Genomic DNA, 18,325 nt, shown 5'->3' with positions numbered 1-18,325 from the left:
CTGGCTAATTTTTGTATTTTTTTTTTTTTTTTTTTGGTGGGGATGGGGTTTCACCATGTTGGCCAGGCTGGTCTCGAACTCTTGACCTCATGATCCACCCGCCTCGGCCTCTCAAAGTGCTGGGATTACAGGCGTGAGCCACCGTGCCCGGCCAAAGGAGTGCTTTTGAGGCACACAGAGGGCCTTGGTGAGGCCACCGCTCTGGGGCAGAGGACCCTCACCGCTTGCCAGGACACCTGAAAACAGCCTCCTCTTCCTCCCCGCTCTCCTCTGCTCTGTCCCGATGGCCTGTGCCCAGCATGTCCTGATAAAGCATCTCAAACCACATATTAATATGGTAACCTGGCTGGGTGCGGTGGCTCACGCTTGTAATCCCAGGGATTTGGGAGATTGAGGTGGGAGGATCACTTGAAGCCAGGAGTTCAAGACCAGCCTGGCCAACATGGTGAAACCCCATCTCTACTAAAAATACAAAAATTAGCCAGGCGTGGTTGCATGTGCCTGTAGTCCCAGCTACTCAAGAGGCTGAGGCAGGAGAATCGCTTGAACCCAGGAGGCGGAGGAGCCAATATTGCACCACTGTACTCTAGCCTGGAAGACAGAGCAAGACTCCATCTCAAAAAAAAAAAATTAAAAATTAACGTGGTGGTGCACGCCTGTACTGCTAGCAACCAGGGAGGCTAAGGCAGGAGGATCATTTGAGCCCAGGAGTTAGAGGCTGCAGTGAGCTATGATCGCCACACTGAACTGTAGCCTGGATGAGAGTGAGACCTTGTCTCAAAAAAAAAAAAAAAAGAAAAGAAAAATGGCCGAGCGCAGTGGCTCACGCCTGTAATCCCAGTGCTTTGGGAGGCTGAGGCGGGCAGATTGCTTGAGCTCAGGAGTTTGAAACCAGCCTGGGCAACATAGCGAGACCTCGTCTCTACAAAAAATAAACCATATTAGCCAGGCATAGTGGCACATGGCTGTAGCCCTAGCTACTCGGGAGCCTGAGGCAGGAGGATCGCTTGAGCCTGGGAGGTGGAGGCTGCAGCGAGTCATGGTCATGCCATTGCAGTTCCAGCCTGGGCGACAGAGTGAGATTCTGTGTCAAAAAAAAAAAAAAAAAGCAACCCCACTGCTTGAAGCTTTGCACGGCTTCCTATCACCCTGGTGCTAAACATGCCACCATTGACCATGGCTGGATGTGGCTCAGCCCCAGAAGCAGCACTGTCTCATCTTCCGCTTGTGAAGACCCAGCCTAGAGTTTCCTTCAGCTCCTCTAATGCGCCTGGACCTCTGCTTTGCACAGATTCTTTTTTTTTGAGACAGCGTCTCTGTCACCCAGGCTGGATGGCAGTGGCATGATCTCGGCTCACTGCAATCTCCTCCTCCTGGATTCAAGCGATTCTCTTGCCTCAGCCTACTGAGTAGCTGGGATTACAGGTGCCCACCACTGCGCCCGGCTAATTTTTGTATTTTTAGTAGAGACAGGGTTTCACCATGTTGGCCAGGCTGGTCTCAAACTCCTGACTACAGGTGATCCACCCGCCTCAGCCTCCCAAAATGTCATGCGTGTCTGTGTGAAGAGACCACCAAACAGGCTTCATGTGAACAATAAAGCTTTTTAATCACCTGGGTGCAGGCGGGCTGAGTCCGAAAAAGGAGTCAGCAAAGGGAGATAGGGGGTGGGTCAGTTTTTACAGGATTTAGGTAGGTAGTGGAAAGTTACAGTTAAAGATGGTTATCTCTTGCGGGCAGGGGCAGGGGTCACAAGGTGCTGGGTAGGGAGATCATGAGACTCATTGTCCAGGAGAAGAAATGTCACAAAGTTAATTGATCAGTAAAGGTGGGACAGGAACAAATCACAATGGTGGAATGACATCAGTTAAGGCAGGAACTGGCTATTTTCACTTCTCTTGTGGTTCTTCAGCTGCTTCAGGCCATCTGGATGTATACATGCAGGTCACGGGGGATATACAATGGCTTAGCCTGGGCTCAGAGGCCTGACACCAAGTGCTGAGATTACAATCGTGAGCCACCGCGCCTGGAGCACAGATTCTTTTCTCTACGTGGAATGCTCTTCTCTTCCCTTTTGACTTACAGAACTCCTACGGGGCTTCAGCTCCCAGCTCAAACCTCCAGGAAGCCCAGACCACGTGACAGCCACCTTCATATTCTGCAAACATTGTGTCACGCACGTCGGTGCGAAGAAAGTCACCAAACAGGCTGTGTGTGAGCAATAAAGCTTTTTAATCACCTGGGTGCAGGCGGGCTGAGTCCGAAAAGAGAGTTAGCAAAGGGTGGTGGGATTATCATTAGTTCTTATAGGGTTGGGATAGGCGGTGGAGTTAGGAGGAATTTTTTGCGGGCAGGGGTTGGATCTTACGAAGTACATTCTCATGGGCGGGGAGAATATTACAAAGTACCTTCTTAAGGGCAGGGGGAGGATATTACAAAGTACCTTCTTAAGGGCAGGGAGGGTGTATTGTCACAAAGTCAATTGATCAATTAGGGTGAGGCAGGAACCAATCACAATGGTGGGATGTCATCAGTTAAGGCAGGAACTGGCTATTTTCACTTCTTTTGTGGAAAAATACTGGCCCTCTGGAGCGGGGGCTGGAATATTGGCAGGTGTGGAGGCATTGGCTATTTCTTTTGCTGTCCTGTCGACATAGGCATTTCCTTTTGCAATAAGATCAGTAGGTTTCTGGTGTCCTTTACAATGAATGACTGCAGCCATGGCCGGCGGGAGAGCAACCTTAAGGAGGGCCTTTATTAGGGAGGCATTGATCATGGAAGAGCCTTGTGTGGTAAGGAAGCCTCTTTCAGCCCAGAGGGCAGCATGGTTATGGAGGATGTGGAAAGCATATTGGAGTCAGTGTAAATGTTAATGTGCATTCTGTTAGCAAGAGAGAGCGCACGAGTTAAAGCAATTAGTTTGGCTTGTTGGGAAGTGGTGGAGGGAGGAAGTGCAGCAGCTTCGATAATAAAGGTGTGGGACAAGACATCATATCCAGCTTTAGCTGGTGAAAATTGATTGGGTTTAGAAGCACTGCCATCGATAAACCAAGTGTGGCCTGGGTTTGGAATTGGAAGAATAGAAATCTGAGGAAAGGGGGAAGATGCTATGTGTATTAGGGAAACACAGTCATGTGGTTCAGGACTTGTGTTGGGTGTTAAGTGAGAAGCTGGGTTGAAATCGGGCCCATAGGCAATAGTTACTGTTGGGGTTTCAGTAAACAGTGAACAGAGCTGGAGGAGTCGAGGGGCAGACAGTAGGTGTGAAAGGTGTGAGGAGGATATTAACGCTTGAAGGTTGTGAGAACTGTAGAGGGCAAGTGGAGCCTGGCCTGTGATTTTGAGGGCTTCCAGAAGTATTAAAGTGGTGGCTGCTGCCACATGTAGACATGAGGGCCAGCCTAAAACAGTAAGGTCAGGTCGTTTGGATAGAAAGGCTGCAGGGCACAGTCTTGGCTCTTGTATAAGAATTCTGACCACACAGCCCAGCACTTCGGCTGTGTGTAAGGAAAAAGGGTTGGGCTAAGTCAGGGAGAGCTAGTGTGGGAGCAGTCTCTATAGCTGTTTTCAAGGAACGGAAAGAGGAGTGGGGAAAGGATTTAGGATCTATGGGATCAGCTAGATTTCCCTTTGTGAGTTTATATAATGGTTTTGTTAGGATGGCAAAACCAGGTATCCAAAGGCAAAAGTACCCAACCATGCCCAGGAAGGAAAGAGTTTTTGCTTTGTAGGAGGGGTTGGGGTTTGAGAGATCAGCCGGACATGATCGGCAGGGAGAACACGTGTGTTTTCATGAAGAATTATGCTGAGGTAGGTAACGGATGAGGAAGAAATCAGGGCTTTGGAGGGGGATACGCAATATCCCTTTAAGAATAGATGTTGGAGGAGCAGGAGGGTGTCCTGTTGGGAAGATTTGCAGGAGGGGCTATAAAGTAGAAGGTCATCAAAATATTGAATAAGGTGAGAAGCAAAGGGGTGGAAAGAAAGTAAATCATGAGAAAGAGCTTGGCTGAAGTAATGAGGGCTGTCTCTGAAGCCTTGTGGCAGTACAGCCCAGGTAAGCTGCTGGGACTGATGGGTGTCAGGGTCAGCCCAGGTAAAAGCAAAAAGAGGCTGGGATGAGGGGTGCAGGGGAATGGTGAAAAAAGCATCTTTAAGATCAAGAACTGAATAGTGAGTTGTGTAGGAAGGTATTGAGGACAAAAGAGTGTACGGGTTGGTCCCCACAGGGTGGATAGGAAAAACAATTTTGTTGATAAGGTGCAGATCCTGAACTAACCTGTAAGACTTGACCAGTTTTTGGACAGGTAAAATGGGGGAATTGTAAGGAGAGTTTATAGGCTTTAGAAGCCCATGCTGTAGCAGGCGAGGGATAATAGGCTTTAGTTCCCTTAAAGCCTGTTGTGGGATGGGATACTGGCATTGAGCGGGGTAAGGGTGATTAGGTTTTAATGGGATAGTAACGGGCGTGTGATTGGTTGCCGGGGAGGGAGTAGGGGTGTCCCCTCCCTGTGGGTGAAGGTGGGAGGGATACAAGAGGAAGACACGAAGGACGCTTTGGTTTGGGAAGAAGGGCGGCAATGAGATGTGGCTATAGTCCAGGAATGGTCAGGGAAGAAGACAATTTGGTTAAAATGTCTCGGCCTAATAACAGAACTGGGCAGGTGGGGATAACTAAGAAAGAGTGCATAAATGAATGTTGTCCAAGTTGGCACCAGAGTGGGGGAGTTTTAAGGGGTTTTGAATCTTGGCTGTCAATACCCACAACAGTTATGGGGGCAAGGGAAACAGGCCCTTGAAAGAAAGGTAATGTGGGCTGGGTGTGGTATCTCACGCCTGTAATCCCAGCACTTTGGGAGGCCGAGGCGGGCAGATCACCTGAGGTCAGGAGTTCGAGACCAGCCTGGCCAACAAGGTGAAACCCCATCTCTACTAAAAATACAAAAATTAGCCGGGTGTGGTGGCGGGCATCTGTAATCCCAGCTACTCGAGAGGCTGAGGCAGGAGAATCCCTTGAACCCGGGAGGTGGAGGTTGCAGTGAGCCGAGATTGCTCCGTTGCACTCCAGCCTGGGTGACAGAGAGAGACTCTGTCTCAAAAAAAAAAGAAAGGTAATGTGGATGGGTAGCTCCCATATCAATTAAACAGGGGATGGCCTTACCCTCCACTGTGAGAGTTACCCGAAGCTCGGCGTCCATGATGGTCCAGGGGGCTTCCGAGGCGACCAGGCAGCATCAGTCTTCAGCCGCTAAGCTGAGAAGATCTGAAAAGGAGTCAGTCAGAGAGCCTGGGGCCAGAGTTCCAGGGGCTCTGGGAGTGGCTGCCAGGCTAGTTGGACGGTCTGATTTCCAGTGGGGTCCTGCACAGATGGGACACGGCTTAGGAGGAATCCCAGGCTGCGGGCATTCCTTGGCCCAGTGGCCAGATTTCCGGCACTTGAAGCAAGATCCTGGGGCAGGAGGTCCTGGAGGAATGCCTGGCAGATGTGGTTTAGGCGTTTTGAAGTTCTCATGTTCTGGAGATGTGGCTGGCGTTTCTCTCTCAGCGGAGGCAAGTAATTACAACTCAGAAATACGTTGCCACTTGGCTGTATCTTTTTTATTATTGTATACCTTGAAGGCAAGGTTAATTAAGTCCTGTTGTGGGGTTCGAGGGCTGGAATCTAATTTTTGGAGTTTTTTCTAATGTTAGGAGCGGATTGAGTGATAAACTGCATATTGAGAATAAGACGGTCTTCTGGTCCCTCTGGGTCTAGGGTGGTAAAGCATCTCAGGGTTGTTGCCAAATGGGCCATGAACTGGGCCGGGTTTTTATATTTGATGGAAAAGAGCCTAAATGCTAACTGATTTGAGAGAGGTCAGCTAAAGAAAAAGGAGCATTAACCTTGCCTATGCCTTCAGCTCCAGCCACCTCTCTAAGAGGAAATTGTTGGGCAGGTGGGGGAGGGCTGTGTCACGGAACGAAACTGTAAGCCAGACCGGGTGTGAGGAGGGGAGGTGATAGAAGGATTATAGGGTGGGGGAGCGGAGGTTGAGGAAGAATTGGGACCTGGCTCTGCCTGGCAAGGAGCAGCCTGGGGAGGAGGGGAGAGGTCAGATGGGTTCGTAGAAAAGGAGGATTCAAAGGACTCAGAGCTTGGGGTGCAGACTGAAGGAACAGACAGGAGAGAAAGAAGAAAGATTTGGGACGAGTCGCATTGGGAGCAGAGACTAGGGAGGGACCAGTGTGTAAAAGAATGCCTGGACGCGGCCGGGCATGGCGGCTCACACCTGTAATCCCAGCACTTTGGGAGGCCAAGGTGGGCGGATCACAAGGTCAGGAGATCGAGACCATCCTGGCTAACACAGTGAAACCCCGTCTCTACTAAAAATAAAAAAAATTAGCTGGGCATGGTGGCGGGCGCCTGTAGTCCCAGCTACTCAGGAGGCTGAGGCAGGAGAATGGCGTGAACCCGGGAGGCGGAGCTTGCAGTGAGCCGAGATCGCGCCACTGCACTCCAGCCTGGGTGACAGAGCGAGACTCCGTCTCAAAAAAAAAAAAAAGAATGCCTGGACGTCAGGCACCTCGGACCATTTGCCCATGTTTCAACAAAAATCATCTAGGTCTTGTAAAGTGGAGAAATCAAAAGTGCCGTTTTCTGGCCATTTGGAACCGTTGTCGAGTTTGTATTGGGGCCTAGCAGTATTGCAAAATAAGGCAGTTAGGTTTTTAGGTCAGGTGTGAGTTGAACAGGTTTTAAGTTCTTGAGAACACAGGCTAAGGGAGAAGGGGGAATGGAGGGCGGAAGGTTGCCCGTAGAAAGGTAGAGACACGGAGAAGTGGGGCTTTGGGGGGTGAGCAGCCAAAGCAGGTGTCCCCGCAATTGACTTGCCACCAAGGGAATGTGGGTGATGAGCAAGGCAGGCGTCCCCCGCGGTGATCAGACACCAATGGAATGTGGGTGAATGATCAGGGCAGGCGTCCCTGCAGTGATTAAACACCAAGGGAAGACCGTCTTTCCAAGTCCGTGACCAGCGCCGGAGTTTTGGGTTCACGGATAAAATGTGTCTCCTTTGTCTCTACTACAGAGGAAAAATAACTGGAATTGGAAGGACAGGGAGATTGAAGCGTAGCGAGAGAGGCTGGAGAAGAGAGTGAAAAGACTGCTTACCCCATTTGAAATTGGTGAGATGTTCCTTCGGCTGGTTGGTCTGAGGACCTGAGGTTGCAGGTGGATCTCCTCACGGAGTGAGGGCGAGGACAGGAGACCGGTCTCCCAAAGGAGTCCTCCTGTCCTGGGTCTTCGGCACCAAATGTCACACTCGCCCGTGTGAAGAGAGTCTACCAAACAGGCTTCGTGTGAGCAATAAAGCTTTTTAATCACCTGGGTGCAGGCGGGCTGAGTCCGAAAAGAGAGTTAGCAAAGGGTGGTGGGATTATCATTAGTTCTTATAGGTTTGGGATAGGCAGTGGAGTTAGGAGCAATTTTTTGCGGGCAGGTGGTAGATCTTACAAAGTACATTCTCAAGGGTGAGGAGAATATTACAAAGTATCTTCTTAAGGGCTGGAGGGGGAGAATATTACAAAGTGCCTTCTTAAGGGCAGGGAGGAGGATATTACAAAGCACCTTCTCAAGGGTGACGAGGGTATATTGTACAAAGTATGTTCACAAGGGCGGGGGAATATCACAAAGTACATTATTGCAAGGGGGTGGTGTATTGTCACAAAGTCAATTGATCAGTTAGGGTGAGGCAGGAACAAATCGCAATGGTGGAATGTCATCAGTTAAGGCAGGAACTGGCTATTTTCACTTTTTTTCTGGATCTTCAGTTGCTTCAGGCCATCTGGATGTACACGTGCAGGTCACAGGGGAGATGGTGGCTTAGCTTGGGCTCAGAGGCCTGAAGAATTGTTCCCTTACAAAAGTCATGTATTGTCTGATTCACCCACTTGCTCCCTGCACTCTCCCTGGGTCTGGTATGCAATAGGTGCATAAGCAATGTTTGTTGATTGACTGACTGAATGGGTGGGATGGTTAAAATTCTGCTCACTTCTCTCCCTTTACCATCTCCCGAGAAACCCATGGGGCCCCCGTGGGACCCACTTTGAGAATCAAAGCTTTAGACCAGCGTTTTCACTTTATGGATGGACCAGCTGTGCACCCAAAGCCAGGCAGCCTTCAGGCTACAGATGGAGCCCGGGTCACGTCCCGGGCCTCCAAGTTCCTGCACCCTTATCCGGTCTCACAGGCGAGATTAGGACACCCCGGAAACTGGCTTCCAGACAATATCCCTGCTGCAGGGGAGAACACCCTAGGTCACCTGGTGACAGGTGTGTGCTGCAATGTACACGTACTTGTTCCTCCTCTTCTCTGTTCCCACTTCCTCCCCGCCCCAGGAAACCTGCCATGGCCTCCTGGTGAGCTGTCCTCATCCACTGCTCGCTGCCTCTCCAGGTAAGTTATCCCATTCTACCTTTTCCCCCCACCCAGAATGCCTGGGAGACCTCCCAGGAAAGGCTTCCTGGCTCCGTCCCTCCTCCCCTCGGCCCCCATCCTATGGGCCCTGATTCATGATGTGGCTGGGCTGGCACAAAATCCCGGTGGAGAGTCACCAAACTGTCCATGACCTGGAATGTGGCCAGCACCCCCTAGTCACAGGCAGGGGTCTTTCTGGGTGTGGCATGCACCACCGTTGGGGAGGACATGGAAGGTTCTGGGTGATTTGCCAAACCGGAAGGAAAGAGTGACGTTTGTCTCTCTCTCTGGCAGAGCTCTGGAGTGGAGTCCCCTCTGCACCCCAACCCCATCAACAGCCTCCCCCCACTCATCTTTTCTGGCCTTGGATTCTCTCTGGCCCTGCCCTGCCTGGGGTGGACTTAAGATGCATTTTTTTTTTCTTTTTCTTTGAGACAGAATCTTGGTCTGTTGCCCAGGCTGGAGTGCAGTGATGCAATCATGGCTCACTGCAGCCTCAGACTCCTGGGCTCGAGTGACCCTCCTGCCTCAGGCTCTGGAGTAGCTGGGACTACAGGTGTGTGCCACCTCACCTGGATACTTTTTAATTTTTTTTTCTTTTGTAGAGATGGGGTCTCACTATGTTGCTCAGGCAGGACTTTTTTTTTTTTTTTTTTTTTTTTTTTTGAGACAGAGTCTTGCTGTGTCGCCCAGGCTGGGGTACAGTGGCATGATCTCGGCTTATTGCAACCTCTGCCTCCCTCGTTCAAGCAATTCTTGTGCCTCAGCCTCCTGAGTAGCTGGGATTAAGGTGCCTGCCACCACACCTGGCTAATTTTTTATTTTTAGTAGAGACAAGATTTCACCATGTTGCCAAGGGTGGTCTCAAACTCTTGACCTCAGGTGACCTGCCCACCTCAGCCTCCGCAAGTACTGGCATTACAGCCATGAGCCATTGCACCCGGCCAATCAGGCAGGTCTTGAATTCCTGGGCTCAAGAGATCTGCCCACCTCACTCTCCGAAACTACTGGGATTACAGGCATGAGCCACCACGCCCAGCTATTTTTTTGCTTTTTGCTTCCTGATCTTTGTGATGTCTCAGCAGAGTAGCATTTTTTAATCTTTTTCTAGGAAAAAATATCTTGGGTTCAACTGGGGTGGGATCTCAGTCCTCATCGCGATCTCACATGTCTGTGTGAAGAGACCACCAAACAGGCTTTGTGTGAGCAACAAGGCTGTTTATTTCACCTGGGTGCAGGCAGGCTGAGTCCGAAAAAGGAGTCAGCAACGGTGGTGGGATTATCATTGTTCTTATAGGTTTTGGGATAGGCAGTGGAGTTAGGAGCAATGTTTTGCAGGCAGAGGGTGAATCTCATAAAGTACATTCTCAAGGGTGGGGAGAATTACAGAGAACCTTCTTAAGGGTTGGGGGGAGATTACAAAGTACATTGATCAGTTAGGGTAGGGCAGAAACAAATCAATGGTGGAATGTCATCAGTTAAGGCTATTTTCACTTTTTTTGTGGATCTTCAGTTGCTTCAGGCCATCTAGATGTATACGAGCAGGTCACTGGGGATATGATGGCTTAGCTTGGGCTCAGAGGCCTGACATTCCTGTCTTCTTATATTAATAAGAAAAATAAAACGAAATAGTGGTAAAGTGTTGGGGTGGCAACAATTTTTTGGGGTGGTATGGAGAGATAATGGGCGATGTTTCTCAGGGCTGCTTCGAGCGGGATTAGGGGTTGGTGTGGGAACCTAGAGTGGGAGAGATTAAGCTGAAGGAAGATTTTGGGGTAAGGGGTGATATTGTGGGGTTGTTAGAAGGAGTGTTTGTCGTATAGAATTATTGGTGATGGCCTGGATGCGGTTTTGTATGAACTGAGAAACTAAACAAAAGAGTGGCTGCCAGGTGAGTTGAACAGTCTGATTTTCATTGGGGGTCCTTCACAGATGGGACATGGCTTAGGAGGAATCCCGGGCTGCGGGCATTCCTTGGCCCGGTGGCCAGATTTCCAAAACTTGTAGCAAGCTCCTGGGGGAGGAGGTTCTGGAGGAACCCCTGGCAGCTGCGGTTCAGGCGTTTGGAGTTCTTGTGTTCTGGAGATGTGGCTGGGGTTTGTCTCACGGTGGAGGCAAGGAATTGCAACTCAGAAATACATTGCTACGTGGCTGCCTCTACTCTTATTATTGTACACCTTGAAGGCGAGGTTAATTAAGTCCTGTTGTGGGGTATGAGGGCCGGAATTTAATTTTTGGAGCTTTATTTAATGTCAGGAGCAGATTGGGTAATAAAATAAAATGCATTTTGAGAATAAGACGGCATTGTGACCTTTCAGGGTCTAGGGCTGTAAAACATCTCAGGATTGCTGCCAAATGGGCCATGAACTGGGCTGGGTTTTATATTTGATGAAAAAGAGCCTAAACGCTAACTGATCTGGGAGAGGTCGGATAAAGAAAAAGGAGCATTAACCTTGACTGTGCCTTTAGCTCCAGCCACCTCTTTAAGAGGAAACTGTTGGGCAGATGGAGGAGGGCTAGTCACGGAAAGAAACTGTAAGCTGGACTGGGTGTGAGGAGGGGAGGTAATAAAAGGATTATAGGGTGGAGGAGCAGAGGCTGAGGAAGAATTGGGACCTAGCTCGGCCTGGTGAGGAGCAGCCTGGGAAGGAGGGGAGAAGTCAGATGGGTTTGTAGAAAAGGAAGATTCAAGACTCAGCAACGCTTGGGGTTGGAACTGAGGGGACAGGCAGGAGGGAAAGAAGGAAGATTTGGGATGAACTGCATTGGGAACAGAGACTAGGGAGGGACCGATGTATAAAAGAATGCCTGAACGTCAGGCACCTCAGACCATTTGCCCATTTTATGACAAGAATTATTTAGATCTTGTAGGATGGAAAAATTGAAAGTGCCATTTTTTGGCTATTTGGAACCACTGTCTGGTTTGTATTGGGGTCAAGCGGCATTGCAGAAGAAAATAAGACATTTAGGTTTTAGGTCAGGCGAGAGTTGAAGAGGTTTTAAGTTCTTGAGAACACAGGCTAAGGGAGAGGAAGGAGGAATGGAGGGTGGAAGGTTGCCCATAGTGAAGTAGGCAAGTTTAAAGAGAAGGGTAGAGACACGGAGAGAAGGGGTGGGGGATGCTTATCCCCCAGGAAAGTGGAGAAGGGATGGGAGGTGCTTGCCCCCCAGGAAAATGGAAACGGGGTGGGGGGTGCTTGCCCCTCAGGAAAGTAGAGAAGGGGTAGAGACACGGAGAGAAGGGGTAAGGTGAGCAGCCAAAGCAGGCGTCCCTGCAATTGACTTGCCACCAAGGGATGTGGGTGAATGACCAAGGCAGGTGTCCCCGCGGAGATCAGACACAAATGGAATGTGGGTGAATAATCAGGCAGTCGTCCCCACAATGATTAAACACCAAGGGAAGGCTGCCTTCCCAAGTCCGTGACCGGCGCCAGAGTTTTGGGTCCACGGATAAAATGTGTCTCCTTTGTCTATACCAGAAAATGAAAGGAATTTAAATTAAGAGAAGGGAGAGATTGAAGGATGGTGCCAAGATTGAAAGGAGAAAGAGGTTGAGGGATAGTGAGAGAGGTTGGAGAAGGAGTAAAAGAGGCCACTTACCCAATTTAAAATCAGTGAGATGTTCCTTGGGCTGGTTGGTCTGCGGACCTGAGGTTGTAGGTGGATCTCTTCAGGGAGTGAAGGTGAGGACAGGGGACTGCTGTCCCGAAGGAGTCCCGCTGACCCGGGTCTTCGGCACCAAATGTCTCATGCGTCCGTGTGAAGAGACCACCAAACAGGCTTTGTGTGAGCAACGAGGCTGTTTATTTCACCTGGGTGCAGGCGGGCTGAGTCCAAAAAGAGAGTCATCAAAGGGTAGTGGGATTATCATTGGTTCTTATAGGTTTTGGGATAGGCGGTGGAGTTAGGAGCAATGTTCTGTGGGCAGGGGTGGATCTCACAAAGTACATTCTCAAGGGTGGGGAGAATTACAAAGAACCTTTTTTTTTTTTTTTTTGAGACGGAGTCTGGCTCTGTCGCCCAGGCTGGAGTGCAGTGGCTCTTTCTCGGCTCACTGCAAGCTCCGCCTCCCGAGTTCAAGCCATTCTCCTGCCTCAGCCTCCGGAGTAGCTGGGACCACAGGCGCCCGCCACTACGCCCAGCTAATTTTTTTTTGTATTTTTAGTAGAGACAGGGTTTCACCGTGTTAGCCAGGATGGTCTTGATCTTCTGACCTCGTGATCTGCCCGCCTCGGCCTCCCAAAGAGCTAGGATTACAGGCTTGGGCCACCGTGCCCGGCCTACAAAGAACCTTCTTAAGGGTGGGGGAGATTACAAAGTATATTGATCAGTTAGGGTGGGGCAGAAACAGATCACAATGGTGGAATGTCATCAGCTAAGGCTATTTTCACTTCTTTTGTAGATCTTCAGTTGCTTCAGGCCATTTGAACGTATATGAGCCGGTCGTAGGGGATATGATGGCTTAGCTTGGGCTCAGAGGCCTGAAAATCGCCCCCACCAATCACCTGTTTCCCCCAATCTACCCTCCTGAAGGTCACTGACAAAGACTTCATTGTCTCCTAGGAGAGGCTGCCATATATCCAGGGCTGACGTAATTCCATCTTAATATCAGTTACATTATAAAAATTTACCTCGTGCCTGAGGCCCCAGAGCCCAAGGGTGCAAAGCAGTAATTGGTCAAAGTTCAACTTCCCTCCCACTCTGGGCTCAGGCTGTCCCCTGAGGGCCTGTGTTTTGAGTCTCTTTCCAGAACCTTGGTGTGAACTTAGGTCTTGGCGTCGGGATCCCTTTTCGTCACACTCAGGTGACCTACAGGGAGCTCCGCTCGACACTGCAAGGCTTAGACCAGTTCGGTCCAACAGAGAAAGCAGGCAACCACCATGTCATTTGAAAACAGTTTCATCGGGATATAATTCGCAACCCATACAGTGAATCCATTTAAGGTGTGTAAGTCAAAAGTTTTTCGTGTATTACCTTATGTTTATTTATTTATTTATTTATTTATTTATTTATTTTGAGATGGAGTCTCGCTCTGTCCCCCAGTCTGGAATGCAGTGGCACTATCTCGGCTCACTGCAAGCTCCGCCTCCCGGGTTCACGCCATTCTCCTGCCTCAGCCTCCCCAGTAGTAGCTGGGACAACAGGCGCCCGCCATCACGCTTGGCTAATTTTTTGTATTTTTAGTAGAGACGGGGTTTTACCATGTTAGCCAGGATGGTCTCGATCTCCTGACCTTGGGATCTGCCCACCTCAGCCTCCCAAAGTGCTGGGATTACAGGTGTGAGCCACCGAGCCCAGCCTTTTATTTTATTTTTTTAAGACAAGGTCTTGCTCCATCACCCAGGCTGGGGTTAAGTGGCATGATCACAGCTTGCTGCAGCCTCAAACTTCCAGACTAAAGCAATTCCCCCAAGTAGCTGGGACTACAGGCGCATGCCACCTTGCCCGGCAAATTTTTGTATTTTTAGTAGAGTTGGGATTTTGCCATGTTGCCCAGGCTGGTCTTTTTTTAAAAAAATTATTTATTTATTTATTTTTGAGATGGAATCTTGCTCTGTCACCCAGGCTGGAGTGCAGTGGCATGATCTCAGCTTACTGCAACCTCTGCCTCCCAGGTTCAAGTGATTCTCATGCCTCAGCCTCCCGAGCAGCTGGGATTACAGGCATGAGCCACCACACTCGGCTTATTTTTGTATTTTTGGTAGAAACAGGGTTTCACCATGTTGGCCAGGCTGGTCTCAAACTCCTGACCTCAAGTGATCCACCTGCCTCAGCCTCCCAAAGTGCTGGGATTACAGGCATGAGCCACCAAACCCGGCTATTATTTATTTATTTATTTTTGAGACACAATCTCCCTCTGTCACCCAGGCTGGAATGCAGTGGTGTCATCTTGGCTCACTGCAACCTCCGCCTCCTGGGTTCAAGTGATTCTCGTGCCTCAGCCTCCCAAGTAGCTGGGACTACAGGTGTGCACCACCACACCCAGCTAATTTTTGTATTTTTAGTAGAAATGGGGTTTCATCATGTTGGCCAGGCTGGTCTTAAATTCCTGACCTCAGGTGATCTGCTCACCTCGGCCTCCCAAAGTGCTGGGACTACAGGTGTGAGCCACTCTGCTCGGCCGGTCAGCTCATATATTACCTGCAAAACCCAGTCCCATTGTACCTTTCTCTGGCTGAGTCATGGATTCAAGCCTTGCCTCAGTGACATGGGAAGCAATGATGACCGGCTATGCCTTCTCCCCTGCCTCCAGGGCACTTGTATTTCAGTAGACTGGGGAAGACTTCGGGGATTCCAGGAAAGGTCTTGTCTAATAGGTAGAAGGAAGTGGACTCTGGGACAAGGTCCCTTTGTTCAAACACCAGCTGTGCTGATTTTTGCTGTGAGTCACTTGGTCTCAGTTTTCTCATCTGTGAAACAGGAATAATAGCAGCTCCTCTCAGGACTCATGGCCCGGAGCTTTGGTAAGCAGGAGATTGTCATCAATGACCCTCACTCCTCTCTCCTCTCTTCCCAGATACTCTGACCCATGGATCCCCTGGGTGCAGCCAAGCCACAATGGCCATGGCGCCGCTGTCTGGCCGCACTGCTATTTCAGCTGCTGGTGGCTGTGTGTTTCTTCTCCTACCTGCGTGTGTCCCGAGACGATGCCACTGGATCCCCTAGGGCTCCCAGTGGGTCCTCCCGACAGGACACCACTCCCACCCGCCCCACCCTCCTGATCCTGCTACGGACATGGCCTTTCCACATCCCTGTGGCTCTGTCCCGCTGTTCAGAGATGGTGCCCGGCACAGCCGACTGCCACATCACTGCCGACCGCAAGGTGTACCCACAGGCAGACATGGTCATCGTGCACCACTGGGATATCATGTCCAACCCTAAGTCACGCCTCCCACCTTCCCCGAGGCCGCAGGGGCAGCGCTGGATCTGGTTCAACTTGGAGCCACCCCCTAACTGCCAGCACCTGGAAGCCCTGGACAGATACTTCAATCTCACCATGTCCTACCGCAGCGACTCCGACATCTTCACGCCCTACGGCTGGCTGGAGCCGTGGTCCGGCCAGCCTGCCCACCCACCGCTCAACCTCTCGGCCAAGACCGAGCTGGTGGCCTGGGCGGTGTCCAACTGGAAGCCGGACTCAGCCAGGGTGCGCTACTACCAGAGCCTGCAGGCTCATCTCAAGGTGGACGTGTACGGACGCTCCCACAAGCCCCTGCCCAAGGGGACCATGATGGAGACGCTGTCCCGGTACAAGTTCTACCTGGCCTTCGAGAACTCCTTGCACCCCGACTACATCACCGAGAAGCTGTGGAGGAACGCCCTGGAGGCCTGGGCCGTGCCCGTGGTGCTGGGCCCCAGCAGAAGCAACTACGAGAGGTTCCTGCCACCCGACGCCTTCATCCACGTGGACGACTTCCAGAGCCCCAAGGACCTGGCCCGGTACCTGCAGGAGCTGGACAAGGACCACGCCCGCTACCTGAGCTACTTTCGCTGGCGGGAGACGCTGCGGCCTCGCTCCTTCAGCTGGGCACTGGATTTCTGCAAGGCCTGCTGGAAACTGCAGCAGGAATCCAGGTACCAGACGGTGCGCAGCATAGCGGCTTGGTTCACCTGAGAGGCCGGCATGGTGCCTGGGCTGCCGGGAACCTCATCTGCCTGGGGCCTCACCTGCTGGAGTCCTTTGTGGCCAACCCTCTCTCTTACCTGGGACCTCACACGCTGGGCTTCACGGCTGCCAGGAGCCTCTCCCCTCCAGAAGACTTGCCTGCTAGGGACCTCGCCTGCTGGGGACCTCGCCTGTTGGGGACCTCACCTGCTGGGGACCTCACCTGCTGGGGACCTTGGCTGCTGGAGGCTGCACCTACTGAGGATGTCGGCGGTCGGGGACTTTACCTGCTGGGACCTGCTCCCAGAGACCTTGCCACACTGAATCTCACCTGCTGGGGACCTCACCCTGGAGGGCCCTGGGCCCTGGGGAACTGGCTTACTTGGGGCCCCACCCGGGAGTGATGGTTCTGGCTGATTTGTTTGTGATGTTGTTAGCCGCCTGTGAGGGGTGCAGAGAGATCATCACGGCACGGTTTCCAGATGTAATACTGCAAGGAAAAATGATGACGTGTCTCCTCACTCTAGAGGGGTTGGTCCCATGGGTTAAGAGCTCACCCCAGGTTCTCACCTCAGGGGTTAAGAGCTCAGAGTTCAGACAGGTCCAAGTTCAAGCCCAGGACCACCACTTATAGGGTACAGGTGGGATCGACTGTAAATGAGGACTTCTGGAACATTCCAAATATTCTGGGGTTGAGGGAAATTGCTGCTGTCTACAAAATGCCAAGGGTGGACAGGCGCTGTGGCTCACGCCTGTAATCCCAGCACTTTGGGAGGCTGAGGTAGGAGGATTGATTGAGGCCAAGAGTTAAAGACCAGCCTGGTCAATATAGCAAGACCACGTCTCTAAATAAAAAATAATAGGCCGGCCAGGCACGGTGGCTCACGCCTGTAATCTCAGCACTTTGGGAGGCCGAGGAGGGTGGATCACGAGGTCAGGAGATCGAGACCATCCTGGCTAACACGGTGAAACCCCGTCTCTACTAAAAATACAAAAAATTAGCCAGGTGTCATGGCGGGTGCCTGTGGTCCCAGCTGCTCCAGAGGCTGAGGCAGGAGGATGGCGTGAACCCAGGAGGTGGAGCTTGCAGTGAGCTGAGATGGCGCCACTGCACTCCGGTTTGGGCGACACAGTGAGACTCCATCTCAAAAATAACAATAATAATAGGCCAGGTGCAATGGGTCACGCCTGTAATCTCAGCACTTTAGGAGGTGGAGGCGGGCAGATCACCTGAGGTCAGGAGTTGGAGACCAGCCTGGCCAACATGGTGAAACCCCGTCTCTACTAAAAATACAAAAATTAGCCTGGCGTGGTGACATGCGCCTGTAATCCCAGCTACTTGGGAGGCTGAGGTACGAGAATCACTTGAACCCAGGAGGTGGAGGTTGCAGTGAGCCAAGATTGCACCACTGCATTCTAGCCTGGGTGACAGAGCAAGACTCCGTCTCAAAAAAAATATATATATATAAAATAAAATAAAGTAAAATAAAATTGCCAGGGGAGACCAAGACGTGGGTGGTGGTGGTGAATCCCAGGTGCTCTCTGAGCCTCAGTTTCCCCATCTGTACAGTGGAGGTGCAGAGGTGCCTGTGATGCCTCCCTGAGGCCCAGGTGGGAGGGTGGAGGGGCATAGGGTGGGGAGGGTGTGGGGGGCCTGAAGAGTCTCTACCAAACCCTCTGGTGACCCCGGGCCTGAGCCAGCCTTGCTGGGCCCATCACTCACCTGCCACCCACACCACACACCTGGGCCCCTCTCCCCACCACCTGGCTGCAAGCCACGGGTCCTGGGAGGGGGACGGGGCCCTCGGCAGGCCAGGCCAGGGCTTCCTAACAGGCTGGGGCAGGCCCAGTCCCCAGGGGGTAAGAGGTGTGGGGACAGGCTGCTCTGTCCTCTGACGCCCCTGGAGCCCCTGTGGTCTCCGCCTCTACCTCAGCTGATGTCAGAGTGAAGAGCTCCCTTTCCCAACTTCTCTTTCTCTGCCTCTGGAATTTCCTCTGAGGCTTAGAGGGACATGGAAACCCTCCCTGGGTCCCACGAGGGCAGAGGCCCAGCCACCTGGCCGATGTTGGGGGGCTCTGGCCTGCCCCCTCTGGAACCCCAGCACTGCCCTCAAACCCCCATTGCCTCCCTGTATGCCCCGGATCTCACATGTGGTTCATGGCACGCCCAGCCCGTGGGGCCTTCTCCCTCCTCCTGGGCACCAGCTGCCCTTGGCTCCCAGCCCTGGGCCCCAGGGGGAGAAAAATTTCCAGCAGGCTGGCAG

At 51.6% G+C, this 18,325-nt stretch overlaps 1 protein-coding gene and 1 long non-coding RNA gene across 13 annotated transcripts, besides 1 other annotated feature; one reads left to right on the top strand and one right to left on the bottom strand.

Annotated features, from left to right (window-relative positions):
• On the bottom strand, positions 1,585 to 12,357 carry LOC101928844 (uncharacterized). Its single transcript, NR_110740.1, has 4 exons — positions 12,056 to 12,357; positions 7,151 to 7,320; positions 5,162 to 5,253; positions 1,585 to 2,208 (listed from the first exon to the last, which is right to left on the bottom strand). It is a non-coding gene; the product is annotated as an uncharacterized LOC101928844 (long non-coding RNA).
• FUT3 (fucosyltransferase 3 (Lewis blood group)) lies at positions 2,702 to 16,936 on the top strand. Of its 12 annotated transcripts, none has more exon segments than NM_001382749.2 (3): positions 2,702 to 2,792; positions 13,271 to 13,398; positions 14,973 to 16,936. In NM_001382749.2, a coding segment is annotated over 1 exon segment (1,086 nt). In that variant the 5' UTR covers positions 2,702 to 2,792; positions 13,271 to 13,398; positions 14,973 to 14,984; the 3' UTR covers positions 16,071 to 16,936.
• Positions 4,322 to 4,709: a silencer, noted in NCBI's record as "fragment chr19:5855126-5855513 (GRCh37/hg19 assembly coordinates)". NCBI's record gives its function as "represses an EF-1alpha promoter that drives an FKBP-Casp9 reporter gene in an ReSE screen in HepG2 liver carcinoma cells {active_cell/tissue: HepG2}" and the evidence as "EXISTENCE:reporter gene assay evidence [ECO:0000049][PMID:32094911]".

This window comes from Homo sapiens, chromosome 19, assembly GCF_000001405.40.
Source record: "Homo sapiens chromosome 19, GRCh38.p14 Primary Assembly".
Classification (NCBI taxonomy): Eukaryota; Metazoa; Chordata; class Mammalia; order Primates; family Hominidae; genus Homo; species Homo sapiens.
The sequence above is the reverse complement of the archived record's forward strand: the minus strand, read 5'-3'. Positions and strand labels throughout refer to the sequence as shown.